The sequence below is a fragment of the Homo sapiens genome, chromosome 2, assembly GCF_000001405.40.
Source record: "Homo sapiens chromosome 2, GRCh38.p14 Primary Assembly".
Classification (NCBI taxonomy): Eukaryota; Metazoa; Chordata; class Mammalia; order Primates; family Hominidae; genus Homo; species Homo sapiens.
In genome coordinates, this window is record NC_000002.12 from 158,844,877 (window position 1) to 158,867,631 (window position 22,755).

General features: G+C 44.8%; 1 long non-coding RNA gene and 2 pseudogenes across 1 annotated transcript in view; all 3 read left to right on the plus strand.

The window, feature by feature from the left end:
* LOC124907901 (uncharacterized) overlaps positions 1-17,611 on the plus strand; it is a 34,420-nt gene extending 16,809 nt beyond the window's left edge. The window contains exon 3 of the long non-coding RNA XR_007087272.1: positions 17,530-17,611. This is a non-coding gene — a long non-coding RNA (uncharacterized LOC124907901). The remainder of the gene's footprint in view (positions 1-17,529) is intronic.
* Positions 8,628-9,796, plus strand: OR7E89P (olfactory receptor family 7 subfamily E member 89 pseudogene; annotated as a pseudogene).
* OR7E28P (olfactory receptor family 7 subfamily E member 28 pseudogene) lies at positions 17,470-18,416 on the plus strand (annotated as a pseudogene).

Consider the following 22,755-nt stretch of genomic DNA (forward strand, 5'->3'; position numbering starts at 1 on the left):
TCACCCCCCTCTAGGGTAGGGAGTTCAGAAGTCAGGACACTACTTCTTCATTCTGCGTATGGCAGCCCAGAGGCTCACTTTGGAATATCACATCTATTGCAGCTTGTTACCTAGTGGAAACTTCCATTTTAACATTCTATTGTAGTCAAGAATTAAGATAATTATTTCAAAACAAATCATTTACAGCTGATTCTTCCATGACTGAGGACCTCTGGGTGTCTGAGTTTCCACAGCATTGTCAAGTACATACAACTCACTTTTATAAGCTAATAACTTTCCAAACTGAATTTTGAAGACAATACTTGAAATGCCCTTTTGTCTGGAAGAATGTGTAAGACATTTTTTTTCTCCAGTTTTGACTCTGTTCTCATTGTGATGAATTCTGAAAGCTTTCTTAACCTTGCTGCTTTATTTTCCAGTCCCCTCAAAATGGAGGTTTGGGGACCCACAGGTAACTTCTCATTCATGTTGTTTTCTGACTTTAAAAAAGCATTTTAAAATGTTTGGAACATAGAAGAGTGAATGACTCAAATCTGATGAAAATATAATGACCTGTTTTGCTTCTACATGTAGCATTTCACTGCTTACAACACATCTACACATAGATTTTCTTTTTTGATTTTCTTTTTAGATTTTCTTTTTTGAGGTAAAGAGCAGGCAAGTCCTATTTTATAGATGAAGTGTTCACAGTGGACAAATAAGTAGGTATTATTATCATCCCCAAGAAACTAAGGCTCAGAAAAGTTAAGCAATTTACCCAAAGTCACACAGCCAGTAAGTGTGCCCTCAAGATACATGCCCTTCTTGCTGTGCCATACATCTAGCCTTCTCTCTTGAACTAGAACCTGATCAGTTGCTCATAAAACACTTTAATATTCACCCTATATGGGAAAGGAAAGGTTTGGGTCTGTCTGTTTTATTGAATGTTAATGCCAGCAGAAAGCCAGATGGCCAAAAGGAGTAGTCTTTTATGGTTCTCAATTTTGGCATTGAAGGGCAAGTGAAAAGGAACATGAATTTGAGGAAATAGCAGTGCAAGTCTTCCCACGAGGCATCACAGGTCTTTGTGAAATGAGTACTTTGGGACCAATCAAGCCAAGATAAACACTGAATCATTTCAAGTGAGACAAACACAATCCCCGTGTCTCTATTTTGCTAATTAGGAGCCCAGAGCACAAAGCTCACAGGACTGGTGGTGTCAGATTAAATTCTGGAGCATTCCCATAAACATTTCCAGAGACCTCCCCTGCCCTTTGTCAACTGCACATTAAACAGCTTTCTCAGCCCAAGGGGCCTCTTCCTTTGCAGACCTCCTGCTGGGTGAGACCTTCTACCGAGGATTTCTCTCTTTACCTTTAGTTTTTGGAAAGCCCTTAGCTCCATTTGTTACAGTTATGTTCTGCCTGAGTACTCAGACTTCCCCTAGTCCTTTGTACCTGAAGTTTTATAGCTCTTCTTCACTCTTCTACCCTGTCTAGCACTTCATAAAGCTGTGTTCTTTGTTGCCTTTATGTACATTCAAATACTACTACTATCCAGGCTTTATAAATCACTGAGTTGTGGAAACCAACTGTGTAATGCACATTCAGATGATGATGTTTTACTGGTCACAGGAGATTCTTAAGGGCAAAGTATTTAGCATTAGCACCCAAAGTGGCAAAGACTGGTTAATACTACTCAGAGGACCCTATCTAAGAGATTGAGGTGGTGATTATAATGGGGAAGAAGTAAAAAAAAGACAAGGTAAGCTTCAAATATCCACAATTCCCCACAAGGAAACCTCTCTTCTCTGAGCTCTATAACATCACTTCAAAGCAATTTTACAGCATAAATTATTCTGGTCAGTATGATAATAATAACGTCATGCCCTTCAGAGCAATTGATGATGGAGTTTTTCCCTGGGATCATGGAAAAACTCATCCCCAGTGGCTATTCACCATCAAAGTGGGTAATATACAGACTTGAGGTTTACAGAAGCAGGTCTGCATTATCCAGGGATGGAGTTCACGCCAACCTGAGTAGCGGCTCTTTCAGGTTGTCAGCGAAAAAAGCTTAAATATCCTGTTTTCAAATTCCAACAGTACCTAACCCGTCCACGTTGTTGGGGTTGCTGCCAGCTGAGGACAGCTGGTTCACCTGATTGGACCTGAAAGGTGCTTTCTTTCCTATCAGCTTAGCCCATGAGAGGCAGAAGCTGCTTGTCTTTCAGTGGGATGATCCGGAGTCAGGTGTCACTAGTCAGTACACTTGGACCGGGCTTCCCCAAGGGTTCAAGAACTCCCCCACCATCTTCGGGGAGGCGTTGGCTCGAGACCTCCAGAAGTTTCTCACCAGAGACCTAGGCTGCATGTTGCTCCACGAGGTTGATGACCTTCTGCTGGGACACCCCACTACAGTGGGGTGCGCCAAGGGAACAGATGCCCTACACCAGCCCATGGAGGACTGTGGGTATAAGGTGTCCAAGAAGAAAGCTCAGATCTGCTGACAGCAGGTACGTTACTTGGGATTTACTATCCGACGGGTCGGAACACAGCCTGGGATCAGAAAGAAAGCAGGTCATTTGCAATCTATCGGAGCCTAAGAGCAGAAGGCAGGTGAGAGAATTCTTAGGAGCTGTGGGGTTTTGTTGACTGTGGATCCCAAACTTTGCAGTAATAGCCAAGAATTTGTATGAGGTCACAAATGGGGTGGGGACTGGGAAACTTTGGAATGGGGATCCCAACAACAGCAAGATTTTCATGAGTTAAAGGAAAAACTTCTGGCAGCTCCAGCCCTGGGGCTACCTGATCTGCCAAAGCCTTTTCCATTGTATGCATCAGAGAGAGAAAAGATGGCAGCTGGACTTTGAACCCAAACTGTGGGGCCCTGGCTGAGGCCGGTGGCCTACCTCTCTAAACAACTAGACGGGGTTTCTAAAGGATGGCCCCCCTGTTTGAGGGCCTTGGCAGCAACTGCCCTGCTAGGACAAGAAGCAAATAAGCTGACTCTTGGGCAAAACCTGAACATAAAGGCCTCCCATGCTGTGGTGACTTTAATGAATACTAAAGGACATCGTTGGCTAATGAATGCCAGGCTCACCAAGTACCAAACTTTGCTCTGTGAAAATCCCCGTATAACCATTGAAGTTTGTAACACCCTACACCCTGCCACCTTCTCCCGGTATCAGAGAGCCCTGTCGAGCCTGATTGTGTAGAAGTGTTGGACTCAGTTGACTCTAGCAGACCTGACTTCCAGGACCAGCCTTGGGCATCAGTAGACTTGGAACTATACGTGGATGGGAGCAGCTTCTTCAACCCCCAAGGAGAGAGAGGTGCAGGGTGTGCCGTGGTAACCCTGGACACTGTTGTTGAAGCCAGATCGTTGCCCCAGGGCACTTCAGCCCAGAAAGCTGAACTCATTGCTTTCATTCGGGCCTTAGAACTCAGTGAGGGTGAGACTGTCAACATTTACACTGATTCTTGGTATGTCTTTTTAACCCTTCAAGTGCATGGAGCGTGATAGAAAGAAAAGGGCCTATTGAACTCTGGGGGAAAAGACAGAAAATATCAACAAGAAATCTTGCAATTATTAGAAGCAGTATGGAAACCCCACAAGGTGGCAGTTGTGCATTGCAGAGGACACCAGCGAGCTTCCACCTTGCTGCGTTTGGGGAATTCGCGCGCTGCCTCAGAGGCTCGAAAAGCAGCATCTGCCCCCTTCCGGGCATCAGTGCTCCCTCAAGCACTTGATCTTGGACCTACTTCTTCTAAAGAAGAAAAGGACTTTCTCCAGGTAGAGGGAAGGACAAGTGATGCAGGAAGGATGGATTCGGTTACCAGATGGGAGAGTAGCTGTGCCACACTTGCTAGGAGGTGCAGTTGTACTGGCTGTGCATGAAACCACCCATGTAGATCAGGAGTCACTGGAAAAGTTGTTAGGCTGGTATTTGTACATCTCGCATTTGTCAGCCCTTGCCAAAACGGTGAGGTAGTGGTGTGTTACCTGCCGACAGCATAATGCGAGGCAAGGTCCAGCCGTTCCACCCGGCATACAAGCTTACGGAGCAGCCCCCTTTGAAAATCTCCAGGTAGACTTCACAGAGATGCCAAAGTGTGGAGGTAACAAGTATTTACTAGTTCTTGGGCGTACCTACTCTGGTTGGGTGGAGGCTTATCTAACACGAACTGAGAAAGCTCATGAAGTAACCCCTGTGCTTCTTTGAGATCTGATTCCTAGATTTCGACTGGCCTTACGGATCGGCTCAGATAACGGGCCTGCGTTTTTGGCTGCCTTGGTACAGAAGACGGCAAAGGTATTGGGGATCACACGGAAACTGCATGCCGCCTCCCGGCCTCAGAGTTCCAGAAAGGTGGAGCAGATGAATCGGACTATCAAAAATAGTACTATTGTCTTCCCCGCTGGATATTTAAAACAACACCACAAGCAAGGGGCGTCAAACCATCTGCTAAATTTGAGGGAATGTTATCCTCTCCCCACTCCCCTGGCCCCAGATATTAGAGACAATAACACAGGGGTAATGTATACCCACTGCTTTATTGAGAGTAATATCATCCTCTCCCTTCTTGGATATTAGGAACAACATTACATTGTGCGTGAACGCCTGTCCCGAAAATCAATGGAATGTCATCCTGTGCCTCCATGGATATGACGAACAATATCACAGGGGATGTACAACTTCTAAGATATTGGCAGTGATATCATCCTCTCCCCTCTGGAAGTTAGGGACAATATCACAGGGGTAGTGTACAGCCTCTGGGATGTTGGAACTAATATCATCCTCCCGCCCACTGGATATTAAAAACCATATCACAAGGGGCGTGTACACACACTTTGATACTGGTATTAATACCATCGTCTCCCTCTTTGGATAATCCGTGCCATATTTCAGGTGGGGTATACACCACCTGCAATATTGGAAGTAATATGATTTTCTCCACCCCCCGGATATCAGAAACAATATCACAGGGGGGTGTCAACAACCCCTGCGATATTTGCAGTAATATCATAGTCTCCTCTTATGAATATTAAGAACAATATCGTAGGGGTGGGGGGTGTACACCCCCTTTCATATTTGATATCATCCTCTTCCCCCCTGGATATTAGGAACAATATCAGGAAGGGATGTACAGATCCTGCGAACTTTGCTGTCATATAATTGTCTCTCCCCTAGGTATTAGGACAAATGTCACTGGGGATGTGAACAGCCCTGCGATATTGGGAATAGTATCATCCTCTCCACCCTTGCATATTGGGAACAACATCACAGGTGGGGTGTACTGCCTCTGCGATATTGGGAGTAAAATTTTCCTCTCTTCCCCTGGACATTAGGAAGGGTATCAGAGGGGGAGGGTGTACATTCCCTGCGATATTCAATGTAACATTATCCTCTCCCTCCCAGGGTAATCAGAACAATAGGACAGGAGGGATGTACACCCCCTGCGATATTGAGAGTCATATCATCCTCTTTTGCTCTAGATATTAAAAACAATGTCACAGGGTTATGTACACCCCCTGCGACATTGGGAGTAATATCATCCTCTCTCCTTGTAGATATTAGGAAGAGTATCACAGGGCTGTGTAAACCCCCTGCGGTATTGGGAGTAATATCATCTTCTCTCCCTCTGGATATTAGGAAGATTTTCACAAGGGTGTGTACTCCCCCTGCGATATTGGCAGTAATATCATCCTCTCCACCCAGGAAATGACTAAAAGGTCACGGGGGTTGTACTCCCCCTGTGATATTGGGAGTAATGTCGTCCTCCCCAAACCTGGATGTTAGCAACAGGATCACAGAGGGGGTGTACACAGCCTGCGACATTGGAAATAATAATGATCCTCTCCCCACCTGGATATGGGGAAAGATATCACAGCGCGGGTATACATTTCTGACACTGTTGGAAGTAATATCATTCTTTTCATTTCTGGATATTAGGAAGAATATCACAGGGGTGCTGTACAATTACTTCGATATTGGGAGTAATATCATCCTCTATTTTCCTGGATATTGGGCCCAAAAACACAAAAAGGTGTACAAACCCTGCGATATTGGGAGTAACAGCACACTCTCCTTCCCCGGATGTTAGAAAACAATATCATCAGGGCTGAACACCCCCTGCGAAAATGGGAGTCATATTGACTCTTTCACAGGCCATTTGGAACAATATCACAGGGGGTGTTTACAAACAGGGGTGGTGTACACCCCCTGGGATATTGGGAGTAACATCATTCTCTCCACCTCCGGATATTAAGAACAATATCCCGGCAGGAGGTGATACACCCCCAGTGATATTGGGAATAATGTCATCCTCTCCTTCCTGTATTCGGAACAATATCACAAGGGGGTGTACACCTTCCATGATATTGGAAGCAATATCATCCTCTCCCTCGCTGGATATTAGAAAAAAATATCACTCACGGTGTACAACCACTGTGATATTAGGAAGAATATTACAGAGTGTACACCCACTCCGACTTTAGGAGAAATAGCTCCCTCAAATGTCACAAATAATTCCACAGGGTATACACTGATATCTCCCTAGGATATTACAAATACTATCACAGGGTGTACACCCACTGTGATAACAGGAGTGATATCTCCCTAGGATATTACGAGTAACATCACAGAATGTACACCTATGGTGTGCACCCACGGTGACATTAGGTGTAATATCAAACCAGGACATAACCAATAAGACCACAGGGAGTACATACATGATGTACACCGACAGTGATGTTACGAGAACTGTCTCCCTAGGATAATACGAATAACATCGCAGAGTGGACACACATGGTATACACCCACTGTGGCACTGGGACTAATAACTTTCTAAGATATTACAAATAGCATCACAGAATAGAAACACATGGTGTACACCCACTGTAACACAAGGTGTAATTTCTCCCTAGGATATTACGAGTGACATCTCAGTGCGTACACACATGGTAAACACCCACTGTGACATTAAGGGTAATATCCCCCTAGGATATTACCAATAACATCACAGGGTGTCCACCCATGGTGTACACGCTCTGTGATGTTAGGGATAATAACTCCCTAGGATATGATGAATAATACCACAGGGTGTACAGAAACTGTGATATTAGAGGTAATATCGCTCTAGGATATTATGAATAATATCACAGGGTGTACATCCACTGTGATACTGGGAGCAATATCTCTCTAGGATAGTACAAATAATATCACAGAGTGGACACCCACTGTGATGTTAGGAGAAATATCTCTCTGGGATATTACAAATCATATCACAGAGTGTACACACGTGGTGTACATCCACTTTGCTATTAGGAGTAATATCTTCCTAGGACATTACAAATAACATCGCAGAGTGTACACCCACTGTAATATTAGGAATCGTATTTCCCTAGGTGATTACAAATACTATCACAGGGTGTACACCCACTGTGATATTAGGAGTAATATCCTCCTAGGGTATTACAAATAATTTCACAGTCTGTACACACATGGTGTACACTCACTGTGATATTAGGAGTAATATCTACCTAGTGGATAACAAATAACATCGCAGGGTGTACACCCACTTTGATATTAGCTGTAATATTTTTCTAAGTTGTTACAAATAAGATCACAGGGTGTGCAAACATGGTGTACACTCGCTGTGATATCAGGAGTCGTATCTCCGTAATATATTATGAATCATATCACAGGTCGTACACCCACTGTATTATTAGGAGTGATATCTCTGTAGGATATTACAATTAATATCACAGGGTGTAGAGCCACCGTGATATTAGGAGCAATATCTTTCTAGGATATTACAAACAATATCACAGGGTGTACGCTCACTCTGCTGTCAGGAGCAATATCTCCCTAGGATATCAAAAATCCTATCACAGGGTGTACAATCTCTGCCTTCCAGGTTCTAAGGGATTCTCCTGCTTCAGCCTCCCGAGTAGCTAGGGTTACCCGCCAGCACGCCCGGCTAATTTTTTTTTATTTTCACTGGAGACGGGGTTTCACCACGTTGGCCAGGCTGGTCTGGAACTCCTGACCTCAGGTGATCCATCAGCCTCGGCCGCCCAAAGTGCTGGGATTACAGGTGTGAGCCATGGCGCTCGGCCAAGAGTTATATATTAAATTCATTTGGAAACACAGCTCCCATATTTGAGTGTGCATGTACTTCTATGAAGAAATGATGTCAGAAAACCTAAGGATGATAATAAATATGAAAAGTAACAGGCATGTGAAAAGGTGTTCCGATTGAGAACTCTAAGGTTCGATTTCGTTTTTAGATAATGGGGTCCTAGCTCTTGTGTCGTCCTTTTACATATTCTACGTCAAAGGAATTTGTAGCACGGTGTCAGAATAAAACAGAGTGTATTTCACGGCTTCTTAATTTCTTTCAATTAGACTGAGATCTTTTTCTTAAAGAGAGAAGGACATTTTCACTGCATTGTATTTTTTCTGAAAAGAGTAGGCCGTATTTTACTGAGATCACGGATTTGGTCTTCTAATATTCTTCAGTGGATTTTCTCTAAAGTAGTATGTACAGAAAGACTTGTATAGCAAAAAAGTAAACCACGTAATAATTCTGAGATTTTTGGATTTGTCACAACTGAGAAACATTGCTGGCGGTGTATGGTCCGCAAGTGTGAAAATGTTCCTTGTGAGTTGCTCGCATCCAGCATTAAGGGCTGGTTTTTATCTTTTATTTTTCCAATCCTCTTTCCTTCTCAAGGTGTCCAAGACACACGGAGCCACGGAATCTCACAGGTGTCTGAGAATTCCTCCTCCTGGGACTCTCAGAGGATCCAGAACTGCTGCCGGTCCTCGCTTTGCTGTCCCTGTCCCTGTCCATGTATCTGGTCATGGTGCTGAGGAACCTGCTCAGCATCCTGGCTGTCAGCTCTGACTCCCCTCCACACCCCCGTGTACTTCTTCCTCTCCAACCTGTGCTGGGCTGACATCGGTTTCACCTCGCCCACGGTTCCCAAGATGATTGTGGACATGCAGTCGCATAGCAGAGTCATCTCTCATGCGGGCTGCCTGGCACAGATGTCTTTCTTGGTCCTTTTTGCATGTATAGAAGACATGCTCCTGACTGTGATGGCCTATGACAGCTTTGTAGCCATCTGTCACCCTCTGCACTACCCAGTCATCATGAATCCTCACCTCTGTGTCTTCTTCGTTTTGGTGTCCTTTTTCCTTAGCCTGTTGGATTCCCAGCTGCACGGTTGGATTGTGTTACAATTCACCATCATCAAGAATGTGGAAATCTCTAATTTTCTCTGTGACCCCTCTCAACTTCTCAAACTTGCCTGTTCTGACAGCGTCACCAATAGCATATTCATATATTTTGATAGTACTATGTTTGGTTTTCTTCCCATTTCAGGGATCCTTTTGTCTTAGTATAAAATTGTCCCCTCCATTCTAAGGATGTCATCGTCAGATGGGAAGTATAAAGCCTTCACCACCTGTGGCTCTCACCTAGCAGTTGTTTGCTGATTTGATGGAACAGGCATTGGCATGTACCTGACTTCAGCTCTGTCACCACCCCCCAGGAATGGTGTGGCGGCGTCAGTGATGTACGCTGTGGTCACCCCCATGCTGAACCTTTTCATCTACAGCCTGAGAAACAGGGACATACAAAGTGCCCTGCGGAGGCTGCGCAGCAGAACAGTGGAATCTCATGATCTGTTCCATCCTTTTTCTTGTGTGGGTGAGAAAGGGCAACCACATTAAATCTCTGCATCTGCAAATCCCGCCCCTTAGTCACATTCTTTTTGTGGCTTGATGGCTTTTATTCCTTTCTGCATTTCCTTTGTGAATATTGCTTTCTTCGTTATGCCTTTAACTGGAATGGGTCAGTATTCTGGGATCCTCTGTTTAGCAGGAACCTCATGACAGAATCCTCTATACCTAGGCGGCCTCTTTTAGTTTCTGAGCAATAACCCTGTCATCCAGGTGGAATCACAACCATCTTTTTATATACACGAAGTCCTCTCTTCATTTTGGAATTCCCTGAAGACTGACTTTATGGAAACAATGTACAGGAGGTCCTCCAACACCACTGGTTGTTCAAAGTTGTGTAGTTATACTGTTGATGAAAAATAAGTGGTTTCACTATACATCATTTTGCTTCAAGGTGAAGTTTCCAAGAGACTTTCAAAGATGTTAAGTGAGGACATACTGTAAATCAAATTCATATCCTCTTCCAGAGTTCATGTGGAATTTCTTTATAAACTGCTTCTAGAGAATCGATTTAGGCAGGTTACGTGTAGAGATCCAGGTCGCCATTCCTCAATCTTGGCTTTGAGTCAAATCACCTGGGGAGCTTACAAATGGTGAGGCCTGGGTCTCAATACCTGAGATTCTGATTTCCTTGCACCTATGTGAGTATGTGGATTTTTTTTTTCTTTTAAACCACCGGAGGTGGTTCCAAAGACGAAGTTTTCAGAGGCATCAAGCTCCAATGAGTAAGAACAGAAATTAATTGTGATATGATTTCCTCATATATTACCTTCAAATGCGTTGTCCATCAACAGCATACAAATGTTTATTATGCTGTTTTTTCTTACCATTTCGCATTTTCTATTTCTTTCTTTTCCTTTCTTTTCTTTTTTTTTTTTTTTTCAAGTCAGAGTTTCACTCTTGTTGCCAGGGCTGGGGTTCAATGGCAAGGTCTCGGCTCACTGTATCCTCTGCCTCCCGTATTAAAGCAAGTCTCCTGTCTCAGCCTTCCAAGTAGCTGGGATTACAGGCGTGCGCTACCATGCCCGGCTAATTTCTTTTTTTTTGTATTGTTAGTAGAGACAGTGTTTCTCCGTTTTGGTCAGGCTGGCCTTGAACTTCCGACCTCAGGTGATCCGCCCGCTTCCGCCTCCCAAATTGCTGGGATTACATGTGTGAGCGACCGCGCCCAGCCACCACTTAGCATTTACATTTTACATTTGTTGAAGTTATAGATTTATACACACATTGATTGCTGCTTTGTTATACACTTGCATATACCTAAGATGGGAAATAGAAAAGAATAAAATGGGCACAGTATCCCTGAAGTTTCACATTCCGAGACATTTTAAAAATATTTGCTCTTTAGAAATTTGTTTCAGTTAAGGAACTGTGGTATACACACCCAATGAAGTATTATTCAGCCTAAAAAGGAAGAAAATCCTCTCTGCTGCAGACAAAATGGATGAGACTGCGTGTCTGTATATTAAATGAAAGAAGCCAGGCACAGAATGACAAATATTTCATGTCCTCACTTCTATGTAGAAAGAAAAAAGGAAACCTTGGCCAGGTGTGGTGGCTCAGGCCTGTAATCCCAGCACTTTGGGAGGCCGAGTCGCACGGATCACTTGAGTCCAGGAGTTCGAGACCTGCCTGGCCAACATGGTGAAACCCCGTCTCTACGGAAAACACAAACAATTAGCCGGGCGTGGTGACGCGTGCCTGTAGTCTCAGCTACTGGGAGGGCCGAGGCCCAAGAAGCGCTTGAACTCGGGAGGCGGAGGTTGCAGTGGGCCCGGATTGTGCCTGTGTACTCCAACCTGAGCAACAGAAAGAGATGCCATCACACACCTACACACAAAAGGAATCTCAGGAAGGTGGAAAGTCTAAAGGTGGTTAGCAGACGCTAGGAAGAAAAGGGGTGGGATGGGGAATGAAGAGAAGGGGATAATTGGGTCCCAAAATACAGAAAGATGGAATAAGTGAGTTCTAGTGTTTGACAGCACAGTATGAAAATTTTAGTTCACAAGAATTTCTTGCATATTTCCAGATGCTTTGGTAAGAAGCTTCCTAACTTTCTCCTTATGCTGGTTTTTCAGCTATTCTCTTTCTGCTCTTGAAATCATGCTGGTTTTTTTGTTTTTGGTTTTTTGTTTTGAGACGGAGTTTTGCGCTTGTTTCGCAGGCTGGAGTGTAATGGTGCAATCTTGGCTCACCGCAACCTCTGCCTCCTGGGTTCAAGCGATTGTCCTGCCTCCACCTCCCAAACAGCTGGGATTACAGGCATGCCCCAGCACGCCCAGCTAATGTTGTATTTGTAGTAGAGATGGAAGTTTCTTCCTGTGGGTCAGGCTGGTCTTGAACCCCTGACCTCAGGTGATCCGAACGTCTCGGCCTCCCAAAGGGCTGGGATGACAGGCGTGAGCAACCGCGCCCGGGCCATGCTGTATCCTTGTCTGTTGTCTGTTGTTGTTTGTTTGTTTTCGAGCCCAGAAATAACTTCTTCCCTATATGTTCAAATGATTTTTCACAGGAGTGCTAAGAAAGTTCATTGGTGGAAAAGCAGCCTTTTCAAGAAATGGTGTTGGAGAAACTTGATTTCCACATGCAGAAGAAGGAAGGTGGACCCTATGTCACACCAGGTGCAAAAATGAACACAAACTGGATCAAAGACCTCACCCCCAGTGCTGAAAGTATAATATGCCTCAAAGAAAACATTGGCCACACTTTCACGACATCAGATTGGGCAATGCTTTCTGGGATATGACACCAAAAGCATAGGCAACAAAAGAAAATTGGATTCCTTGGATGACATCTAAACGACAGACACTTTCGTGCATCAGCAAACACTGTGAACTCAGTGAAAAGATAACCCATGGATTAGGAAAAAGATTTGCAAATCATATCTCTGAAAAGAGGCTGATATCCATCATATATAAAGAAGAGCTAGAACTAAACAACAAGAAACCCAAAGCACCCCATTAACAATGGTCAGAAGACTCGAGTAGACGTGTCCCTAAAGAAGATAGAGCAATGGCCAATAAGCGTCTAAAATGATGTTCAAAATCACTAATCATGGGGAAGTGCAAATCAAACCAAGAATGTGATACCACATATTAGGATGGATATGATAAACGAACAAGCCTTGGTGAAACTAGAGGGAAGTAGGAATGCTCGAATCTGATTGGAGGGAATGTAAAACCGTGAAGGAATGGGGAAAATAGTATGGCCTGTCCTGGAAAAAGTAGAAACAGAATGATCAGATGTTCCCGCAGTTGCACTTGTGGGTACCCACCAAAAAGAATTAGAAGCCAGGAGTGGAAGAGAGATTTGTACACCCATATTCATAGCAGCGTTACTCAAAACAGCCAAAATGGGGAAGCAACCCAAGGGTTCGTGGGCAGATGAATGAAAAAGCACAGTGCAGTTCATTCATACAACGGAAGACTATTCAGCCATAAAAATGCAGGCACTTCTGGCCGGTGCCGTGGCTCACGCCTGTAATCTCAGCATCTTGGAAGACCGAGGTGGGCGGATCACCCGAGGTCAGGAATTCGAGACCAGCCTGGCCATCTTGGTGAAACCCTGTCTCTACTGAATATGCACAAAATTAGACGAGCGTGGTGGCGCGTGCCTATACTCCCAGCTACTCGGGAGGCTGAGCACAAGAATCGCTGGAACCCGGGAGGCGGAGGTTGCAGTGAGCCCAGATTGTGCCACTGCACTCCAGCCTGTGTGACAGAGTGAGACTCCATGTAAACACAAAACAAAACAGAACCAAAAAAATAAATAAATAAATAATAAAAAACCGAAAAAGCCAGGCAGGCACTTCTGACACAGGCTGCAACATGGATGAACCTTGAAGACATTATCGCCAGTGAAACAAATAAATCCCAAAAGGATAAACACGACCAGCCTCCGTGGCTCGCACCTGTAAACCCAGCACTTTGAGAGGCCGAGGCAGGCGTATCACTTCAGGTCAGCAGTTCGAGACCAGCCTGGCCAATATGGTGAAACCTCGTTTCTATTAAAACTACAAAAATTAGCTGGGCGTGGTGGCGCACGCCTGTAACCCCAGCTACACGGGAGACTGAGACACAAGAATCGCTTGGACCCACGATGTGGAGGTTGCAGTCAGCCGAGACCATGCCGCTGCACTCCAGCCTGGGTGACAGAGAAAGACTGTCTCCAAAACAAAGAAACAAAGAAAATTAAACACGGTATGATTCCCCTTCTATCAAGTGTCTAGAGTAGTTAAACTCATAGAGTTGCAAAATAGAACGGTGGCCCCCAGGGGTGGGCGAGAGAGAGGAATGGAGAGTTTGCTTAATGGGTGCAATTTCCATTTGGAAAGCTAAAACCGTTCTGGAGATGATGGCGGTGATGGTTGCAAAACAATGTGAATGTACCTAATGTGATTAAACTCTAAACTGAAAACTAGTGGAAATTGTAAATGTTCATACTGGCCATTCTATATGCAAGAATCTCTATTTATAATTTTTAGGATTTATACGTGGTATATTTTCCCATACTAAAAGATGAAAATTAAAGCACTTGGATCTTGAAAAAGAAAAGAAAGAAGCGAAGAATCCACACAAGCTCTCTCCTGATTAGAGGAAGAGCCCCAAAACTTCTGTGGACACTGACTTTTCCCTTCTTCTTCTTGCATGATTATGAGGAAATCCTTAGAGGTTGGGGAACTTGGGCGACTCTGGCTAATGAGGAGCTCTATGCCTTGAGACCCCCAGGCCATAGAATAGTAAATACTCAGTCTGTGCCTCCAGCCCTGCAGTGTGAGGTTGCAGTCCTGTGGGCTCCACACCCGTCACCTGTATCAGGAGGCTCATGTCTCGGCCTGTCTTCTTGCCAGCCTTGAGGACGGAGGCTGAGCCTCCCATGTGCACCACGCAGGGAGGACAGTGGACCTGTTCTCCGTGGTCATGGCCCAGCAGAGGGGAAGGGCAGTTCAGTGAGTGCTGAGGGACGGTTGGGAGCCTTGTTTGTTTCCTCATCCTCAGGACAAATGGGAGAGTGCCGTGGGCAGATGGGAGGAGACCAATGTGCAAACTGTCAGCTCAGCAGACCGTGGAGTTTCTGTTCTTGGTTGGGGTGGGGGGTCTCTCTCAGAAATCTTATTCAAAACTGTGCTTCCCTCCCCCACTGGTTGTCCTTTTCATAGACATCTCACCCACGCGAGCAGGGAAAGAGTCCCTCTAAACTATTCCCTGAGAACAACAAAAAGATGATGAAGATGATGATGAGGATAAAGAGGATGATGACAGACACCACGGCAACATGAACCCTTACTGAGGGCTTCCTAAAGGCCAGGCTCTGAGCTCTGTGGTCTATGCTACTTGTTTCATTTCATCTGCATAGTCTCCCAGTTATCAGTGCACATTTCATGATTATTTTGCAGACTAGAAAAGGAGCAACACATTTTCATGTAACTTGTACCAGATCATGAAGTCAAAAACGGTGAAGTCCAATTTGAACTAGGCAGTCTAAGGCCAGACACATGGCATTTGGCCATTCCTCTCCCTGCATCCAACCTGCCCCCTCCAATCCTTGTCACTCAGGCCGATGCCCCTGCTCACTGTGCCCTTCCCTTTGGGGGTTCCTTGTAGACCACAGCTAGACCAGTGGGTGCCATAAGCACTGTGTCAAGTATGGAAAGGGCAGCTGAGATCACATCAAAGATTCCAGAAAGAATTGGCACAGGATCATTCGGGATGCATCTCTCCCTTGCCCCTGTTCCTGGCTTTGCTTACAGCTCTCGACTTCCTCCAAGGAGTCATCAATTCGGGGTTTGGCTTCCATTCCTATTGAGGAAGCTGGAAACCATTTCAAAAATGCTCCTCAGATGTGCCTGTGGTTAAGACCTCTGAGCTCTGTTGAAAACTTTTGGAAGCTGGGCGCGGTGGCTCGCGCCTGTAATCCCAGCACTTTGGGAGGCTGAGGCAGGCGAATCACAAGGTCAGGTGTTCGAGACCAGCCTGGCCAACATGGTGAAACCCCGTCTCTCCTAAAAAGAGAAAAAAATGAGCCGGGCGTAGTGGCGGGTGCCTGTAATCTCAGCTACTCGACAGGCTGAGGCAAGAGAATAGCTTGAACCTGGGATGCGGAGGTTGCAGTGAGCCGAGATCACTCCACTGCACTCCAGCCTGGGCAAGAGAACGAGACTCCGTCTCAAAAACAAAAACAAAAACAAAAAAGAACCCACAACATTTTGAGGGTTGGGAGACCATCAGGTTTAGTGCCCGGGACTTAGAGTCTGGCCATTAATTTTCAACACCACCTTTCCTACTTATCTGTATGGCAAGGGCTGAGACGTCCATCCTCTGAGACTCAGCACTCTCATCTCAGTTGATTTCTAGTTGATCCAATGGAAGTGAGCGATGATGAAACCGATCGTGGCTGCCCGCTGCGTGATCTCTATGTGATGGATGCATAAAGTCAAGGCAAAGTGAATTTTAGATACATTCGTTAATATTTTCAGCTTAAACTCCATACGGTTCGACGGAAATATCCCCTGACCTGAAGTTCTGGTTTCCCTGCATTCCAGACCGGACATTTTCTTTTGTCCTTATCTCAGTAAGTACTGAGTATTGTGAGAGGAACAAGTGAGTCTCTTTTGTTTCTGATTCCCCAGAGCCTATATCTTGCTTGGCACATAGGAGATAGCCAGAGTAAACATCTACGTGAATTATTGAATTGACACTTCCTTGGTTCACAAAAATTGGCTGTCATCAGTGTGACGTCAGTGTGACAGAGCGTGTGTTTTTTGTTTATTGTTTTTTGAGACGGAGTTTTGCTCTTGTTGCCCAGGCTGGAGTGCAGTGGTGTGATCTCGGCTCACTGTAGCCTCTGCCTCCCAGGTTCAAGCCATTCTCCTGCCTCAGCCTCCCGAGTAGCTGGGACTACAGGCACGCGCCGCCATGCTGGGCGAAGTTTTTGTATTTTCAGTAGAGGCGGGGTTTCACCATGTTGGCCGGGATGGTCTTGATCTCCTGACCTCGTCATCCGCCCTCCTCGGCCTCCCAAAGTGCTGGGATCACAGGCGTGAGCCACCGCGTCCGGCCAAACGTTCTGATGAAAACGCTAAGTCCACCGAAGCTAAGGACAGGAGTTATAGCTTCCATGAATTTTAAAACAAGACCCACCGATTTGAGTAAGCAATTCCTCTCTTGAAGGAGAAAAGCCAGAAAACAGAATGATGAAATCACTAGGATCCAACCGGTCTGTGGAACTATTCTCTGCTTATGAACTATCAACTTTAATTTCATTTCCAGATGGCATGGGCTCAGCAGTTATACAGTGTTTACAGATGTTCTAAATCAAGGGAATTTGTATCAATCTATTCGAATAAAATAAAATATTTGAGTTCTTAATTTCCTTTAATTAGGATAACCTTTTTCTTAAAGTGAAGAGAATGGTTTTATTACATAGTTTCCTTCAGTAAAGATAGGCTGTATTTTCTAGCAATTACGAATTTGTTATATAGGATGATCTGGTTCTTGGAACATTCTTGAATCTGGTGTCTCTGAGGCAGGTGTGTACAACAAGAAGTGAATAACACAGAAATCAATGATGAAAGCATTAGAAGACAATTGAGTTTGTCAGAACTGCAAACTATTGCTGAGTGTGGATTGCTCTGAAATCTGAAAACATGACTTGTGAATTGCTTCTATCCAAAACGCAGACATGATGCTGGGGGTCAGTTTACTTGTTTCCGATTTCTCAACCCTCTTTTCTAGGCAAAAGTTGTCCAATCTCTACAGACCCACAGAATCTAACAGATGTCTCTATATTCCTCCTCCTAGAAGCTCAGAGGATCCAGAACGGCTGTTCCTGTCCATGTGCCTGGTCACGGTGCTGGGGAACCTGCTCATCATCCTGGCCGTCACCCCTGACTCCCACCTCCACATCCCCATGTACTTCTTCCTCTCCAACCTGTCCTTGCCTGACATCGGTTTCACCTCCACCACGGTCCCCAAGATGATTGTGGACATCCAGTCTCACAGCAGAGTCATCTCCTATGCAGGCTGCCTGACTCAGATGTCTCTCTTTGCCATTTTTGGAGGCATGGAAGAGAGACATGCTCCTGAGTGTGATGGCCTATGACCGGTTTGTAGCCATCTGTCACCCTCTATGTCATTCAGCCATCACGAACCCGTGTTTCTGTGGCTTTCTAGTTTTGTTGTCTTTTTTTTTTCTCAGTCTTTTAGACGCCCAGCTGCACAACTTGATTGCCTTACAAAGGACCTGCTTCAAGGATGTGGAAATTCCTAATTTCTTCTGTGACCCTTCTCAATTCCCCGTCTTGCATGTTGTGGCACCTTCACCAATAACATAATCATGTATTTCCCTGCTGCCATATTTGGTTTTCTTCCCATCTCGGGGACCCTTTTCTCTTACGATAAAATTGTTTTCTCCATTCTGAGGGTTTCATCATCAGGTGGGAAGCATAAGGCCTTCTCCACCAGGGGGTCTCACCTGTCAGTTGTTTGCTGATTTTATGGAACAGGCATTGGAGGCTACCTCAGTTCAGATGTGTCATCTTCCCCGAGAAAGGCTGCAGTGGCCTCAGTGATGTACACGGTGGCCATCCCCATGCTGAACCCCTTCATCTACAGCCTGAGAAACAGGGATATTAAAAGTGTCCTGCGGCAGCCGCACGGCAGCACGGTCTCATCTCAATATCTTCTTATCTGTTCCATTCCTTTTGTAGTGTGGGTTAAAAAAGGCAGCAAGGTCAAATAAGAATGATGTCACAGGGTGAACACCCACTGTGATATTAGGAGTAATACCTCCCTAGGATACAGAATATACTGTCACAGAGTATACACACATGGGGTACACCTGCTGTGATATTAGAAGCAATATCTCCCTAAAGTACGATGAAAAATATCACAGGGTGTGCACACTGTGTGATATGAGGAGTAATATTTACCCTGGATATTACGACTCATATCAAGGGTGTACACACCCGGGGTACACGCACTGTGATATCAGGAGTTGTATCTCCCTAGGATATTATGAATACTATCACAGGGTATACACTATGTGTGTACATCCACTGTGATATTTGAAGTAATATCTCTCTATGAGATTATAAATAACATCAAAGCTTGTACACCCCTGTGACATGTTAGGAGTAACATCCTTCCAGGGTATTGCAGATCACGCCACAACGTGTACACCTCCTGTGATGTTTTGTACACTCTTTGTGACATTAAAAGAAACATCCCCCTAGGATATTATGAATAATAAAACAGGAGGGGTACCCACATGGTGTACACCGCCTGTGTCTTCAGGAGTAACATTTCCCTAGGATATTACGAATAATATCACAGCAGGTGTACACACATGGTGTACACCCCATGTGACATTTGGAAGAGCATGCCCCTAGGATATTAGGAATAGTATCACAGGCGTTGAATACGCATTTTTAATGCGTAATGTCACCCCCGGTGACATTAAAAATAACATCCCCCTTGGATATTACGAATAATATGACAGGGAGTACACCCCGTGTGACATTTGGAGTAGCATCCCCAAAGGATATAACGGATAATATCAGAGGGTGTACATGCACTGTGACCTTAGCAGTAACATCTCTTTAGGATATTACAAATAGTATCACAGGGTGTACAGGCATTGTGACATAAGTGGTAACATCCCGCTGGGATATGACGAGTCACATCACAGGGTGTACACCCCCATGACAATAGTATCAACATTCCCCTAGAATACTATGAATAATATCACAGGAGGTACAGCCCCTGTGATTTACGAGTAACATGTCTACAGAATATTACAACTCATATCACTGTGTGACTCTGTGTACACCCCATGTGACTTTAGGAGGAACATCCCACAAAACTATGATGAAAAATATCACAGGGTGAACACCCCCTGTGACCTGAGGAATAACGTAGTTTTAGGATATTGTGAATGATGTGACAAGGTGTACACAACCTGTGACGTTAGGAGCAACATCCGTCTAGGATGTTAGGAAGAATATCACACGGAACACACCTCCTGGGACATTAGGATATGACAAATAATATCACAAAGTGTACACGCATCGTGTCATTAGTGCTAATATCCCTCTGGTACACTATGAATAATATCACAGGGTGTGCATCCCTGTGACATTAGCAGTAACATCCCCCTAGAATAGTAAGAATAATAACACGGGGTGTACACCACCTGTGACATGAGGAGTATAGACCCCAGGGAAATTACGAATACTATCACAGGGTGTACAGCCCTGTGACATTAGGAGTAACATCTTTCTAGAACATCACAAATAATATCACAATGTGTACACCCCCTGTGTCATTAAAAGTAAAATTGCCCTAGGATATTACGAAACAGAACACAGGGAGTACACCCCGTGTGACATTAGAAGTAAGATCCCCCGAGGATATAACGAATAAGATCAGAGAATGTACCCGCATTGGGACATCAGTAGTAACATCTCTTCAAGACAATACGAATAATACCAAAGGGTGTACACGCATTGTGAAATGACTAGTGAACTCCCGCTAGGATATTAGGAATTTGATAACAGGGTCTACACGCCCTGTGACATTAGCAGTAACGTTTTCCTAGAAGATGACGGAGAATATTAAAGGGTATACAGGACCTATGAATTACGAGCAACATTTCCATAGCATATTGCACGTAGCATCACTGTGTGTACACGCCGTGTGACATTAGGGGTAACAATATCACAGACTGGATGTCCAACCCCTGCGATATTGGTAGTCATATCAGCCTCTCCTCTCCATGGATATTAGGAAGAATATCCCGGGATGGGTGTACACCTCCTGCTGTATGGGGAGTCATATTGTCCTCTCCCTTCCTGGCTACTAGGAACAATATCGGAGGGTGGGTGTACACAGCCTGCGATATTGCGAGTAATATCACCCTCTCCCCCTCTGGATATTAGGAACAATGTCACAGAAGGGGTGTACACTTCCTGCCATACTGGGAGTAATAGCATTCTCTTCTTCCGTGAATATTAGGAGCAAAATCACCGGGTGCATGCACACCCAGTGCTATATTGGGAGTGACGTCATACTCCACCCCCTGGAGATGATATTCAGATCAATATCACCGGCTAGGTGTACACCTACCGCGATATTGAACGTAATATCATGCTCTCTCCCTCCCTGGACATTAGGAGCAATATCACAGGTGGGTGTACACCCACTGAGGTATTAGGCCTAATAGTAGTATGAATTATTCCTCATTTATTATTAACATGAATATGAATGACTGATATTAATATTACTATTAAGAAATAATTGCTAATAAAAAGTTTTCAGAGTATTAATATTAATATTAATTATTAGAAGTTAATATTGCTGTTTTCTAATGAATAAGATCAATATCAGTTATTAATATCAGGCGTCATTAATCATTAATATTAATCATTTATAGTTATTGTGAGTATAACTATTTAATATTAATCATCATTATTATCGGTATTGATTTTTAAAATTATATTATGAGTTATTAATATTGATAATTATTAGTGTCAATTAATAATTGAGATGATTAATTGCGGTAAGTCACATTGCGCCATTCCACCCCTCCCTCGGCAGCTCTTTTACGACCCAAAACGGGGATACAAATGCCCCTGAGAGAGCAGCGGTATACTGGGATAGAGGAGGATGGTCACGTGGTGGAGAGGAGTGTTTTTGGGTAGCAGCCCTTCACCTCCCTCGACTTCTCAACTAGAAAAACAATACACCGCCCTCTACCGAAAAGCCACAAGCCCTAATTGATTTGCTCCAAACTGTTATCCAGACCCACAACCACACCTGGGCTGATTGGCACCAGTTGCTCATGTTCCTCTTTAACAGCGAAGAAAGGCGGAGAGTCCTCCAAGCAGCAACTAAGTGGCTAGAGGAACATACAATAGCTGATTATCAAAACCCCCAAGAGTATGGAAGGACCCAGTTACCAGGAACCGACCCCCAGTTGGACCCACATGAAAGAGAGGATATGCAAAGGCTAAACCAAGACAGGGAAGCTGTCTTGGAAGGATTAATGAGGAGAGCTCAGAAGGCCACAAACGTTAACAAGCTCTCTGAGGTCATTCAGGGAAAAGAAGAAAGTCCAGCACAATTCTACTAGAGACTGTGTGAGGACTGTCGTCTGTATACTCCCTTTGATCCCGATAGCCCTGAAATCAGCGCATGATTCACATGGCTTTAGTCCATCAAAACACAGAAGACATGAGAAGAAAACTGCAGAAACAGGCTGGGCTTGCAGGGATGAATACATCACAATTACTAGAAATAGCTAGCCAGGTGTTTGTAAACAGGGATGCAGTAAGCCGTAAGGAAAACGGCAAAGAGAATGGAGGTCAGGCCCAGTGAAACACCGAACTGTGGGTTAGCTGCAGCAATCAGAGGGGCCCCCCCGCAAAGAGGCAAGGGAAGGGGGGTCCTGGGAAAGAAACTCAGCTTGGCTGTCAGAGTTTGCAGTGTAACCAGTGTGCTTATTGTAAAGAAATAGGACAGTGGAAGAACAAATGCCCTCAGCTCAAAAGAAAACAAGGTGACTCCGAGCAGGAGGCCCCGGACAAGGAGGAAGGGGCCCTGCTCAACCTGGCTGAAGAGTTATTGGACTGACGGAGACCGGGCTCAAGCGTCCCCAAAGAGCCTCTGGTCAGAATGACAGTTGGGGGAAGAGACATTGATTTTCTTGTAGATAGCGGTGCTGAACATTCGCTAGTAACTGCCGCGGTCGCCCCCTTATCCAAAAAGACTATTGACGTCATCGGAGCCACGGGGGTTTCAGCAAAGCAAGCTTCCTGCTTGCCTCGGACTTGTACTGTGGGAGGATATCAAGTCATTCATCAGTTTTGGTACATGCCTGACTGCCCCTTGCCCTTTTGGGGAAGGGACTTGCTCAGCAAGCTGAGAGCCACTATCTCTGACAGAGCATGGCTCTTTGCTGCTAAAGTTACCCGGAACAGGAGTCATTATGACCCTTATGGTCCCCTGAGAGGAGGAATGTAGACTTTT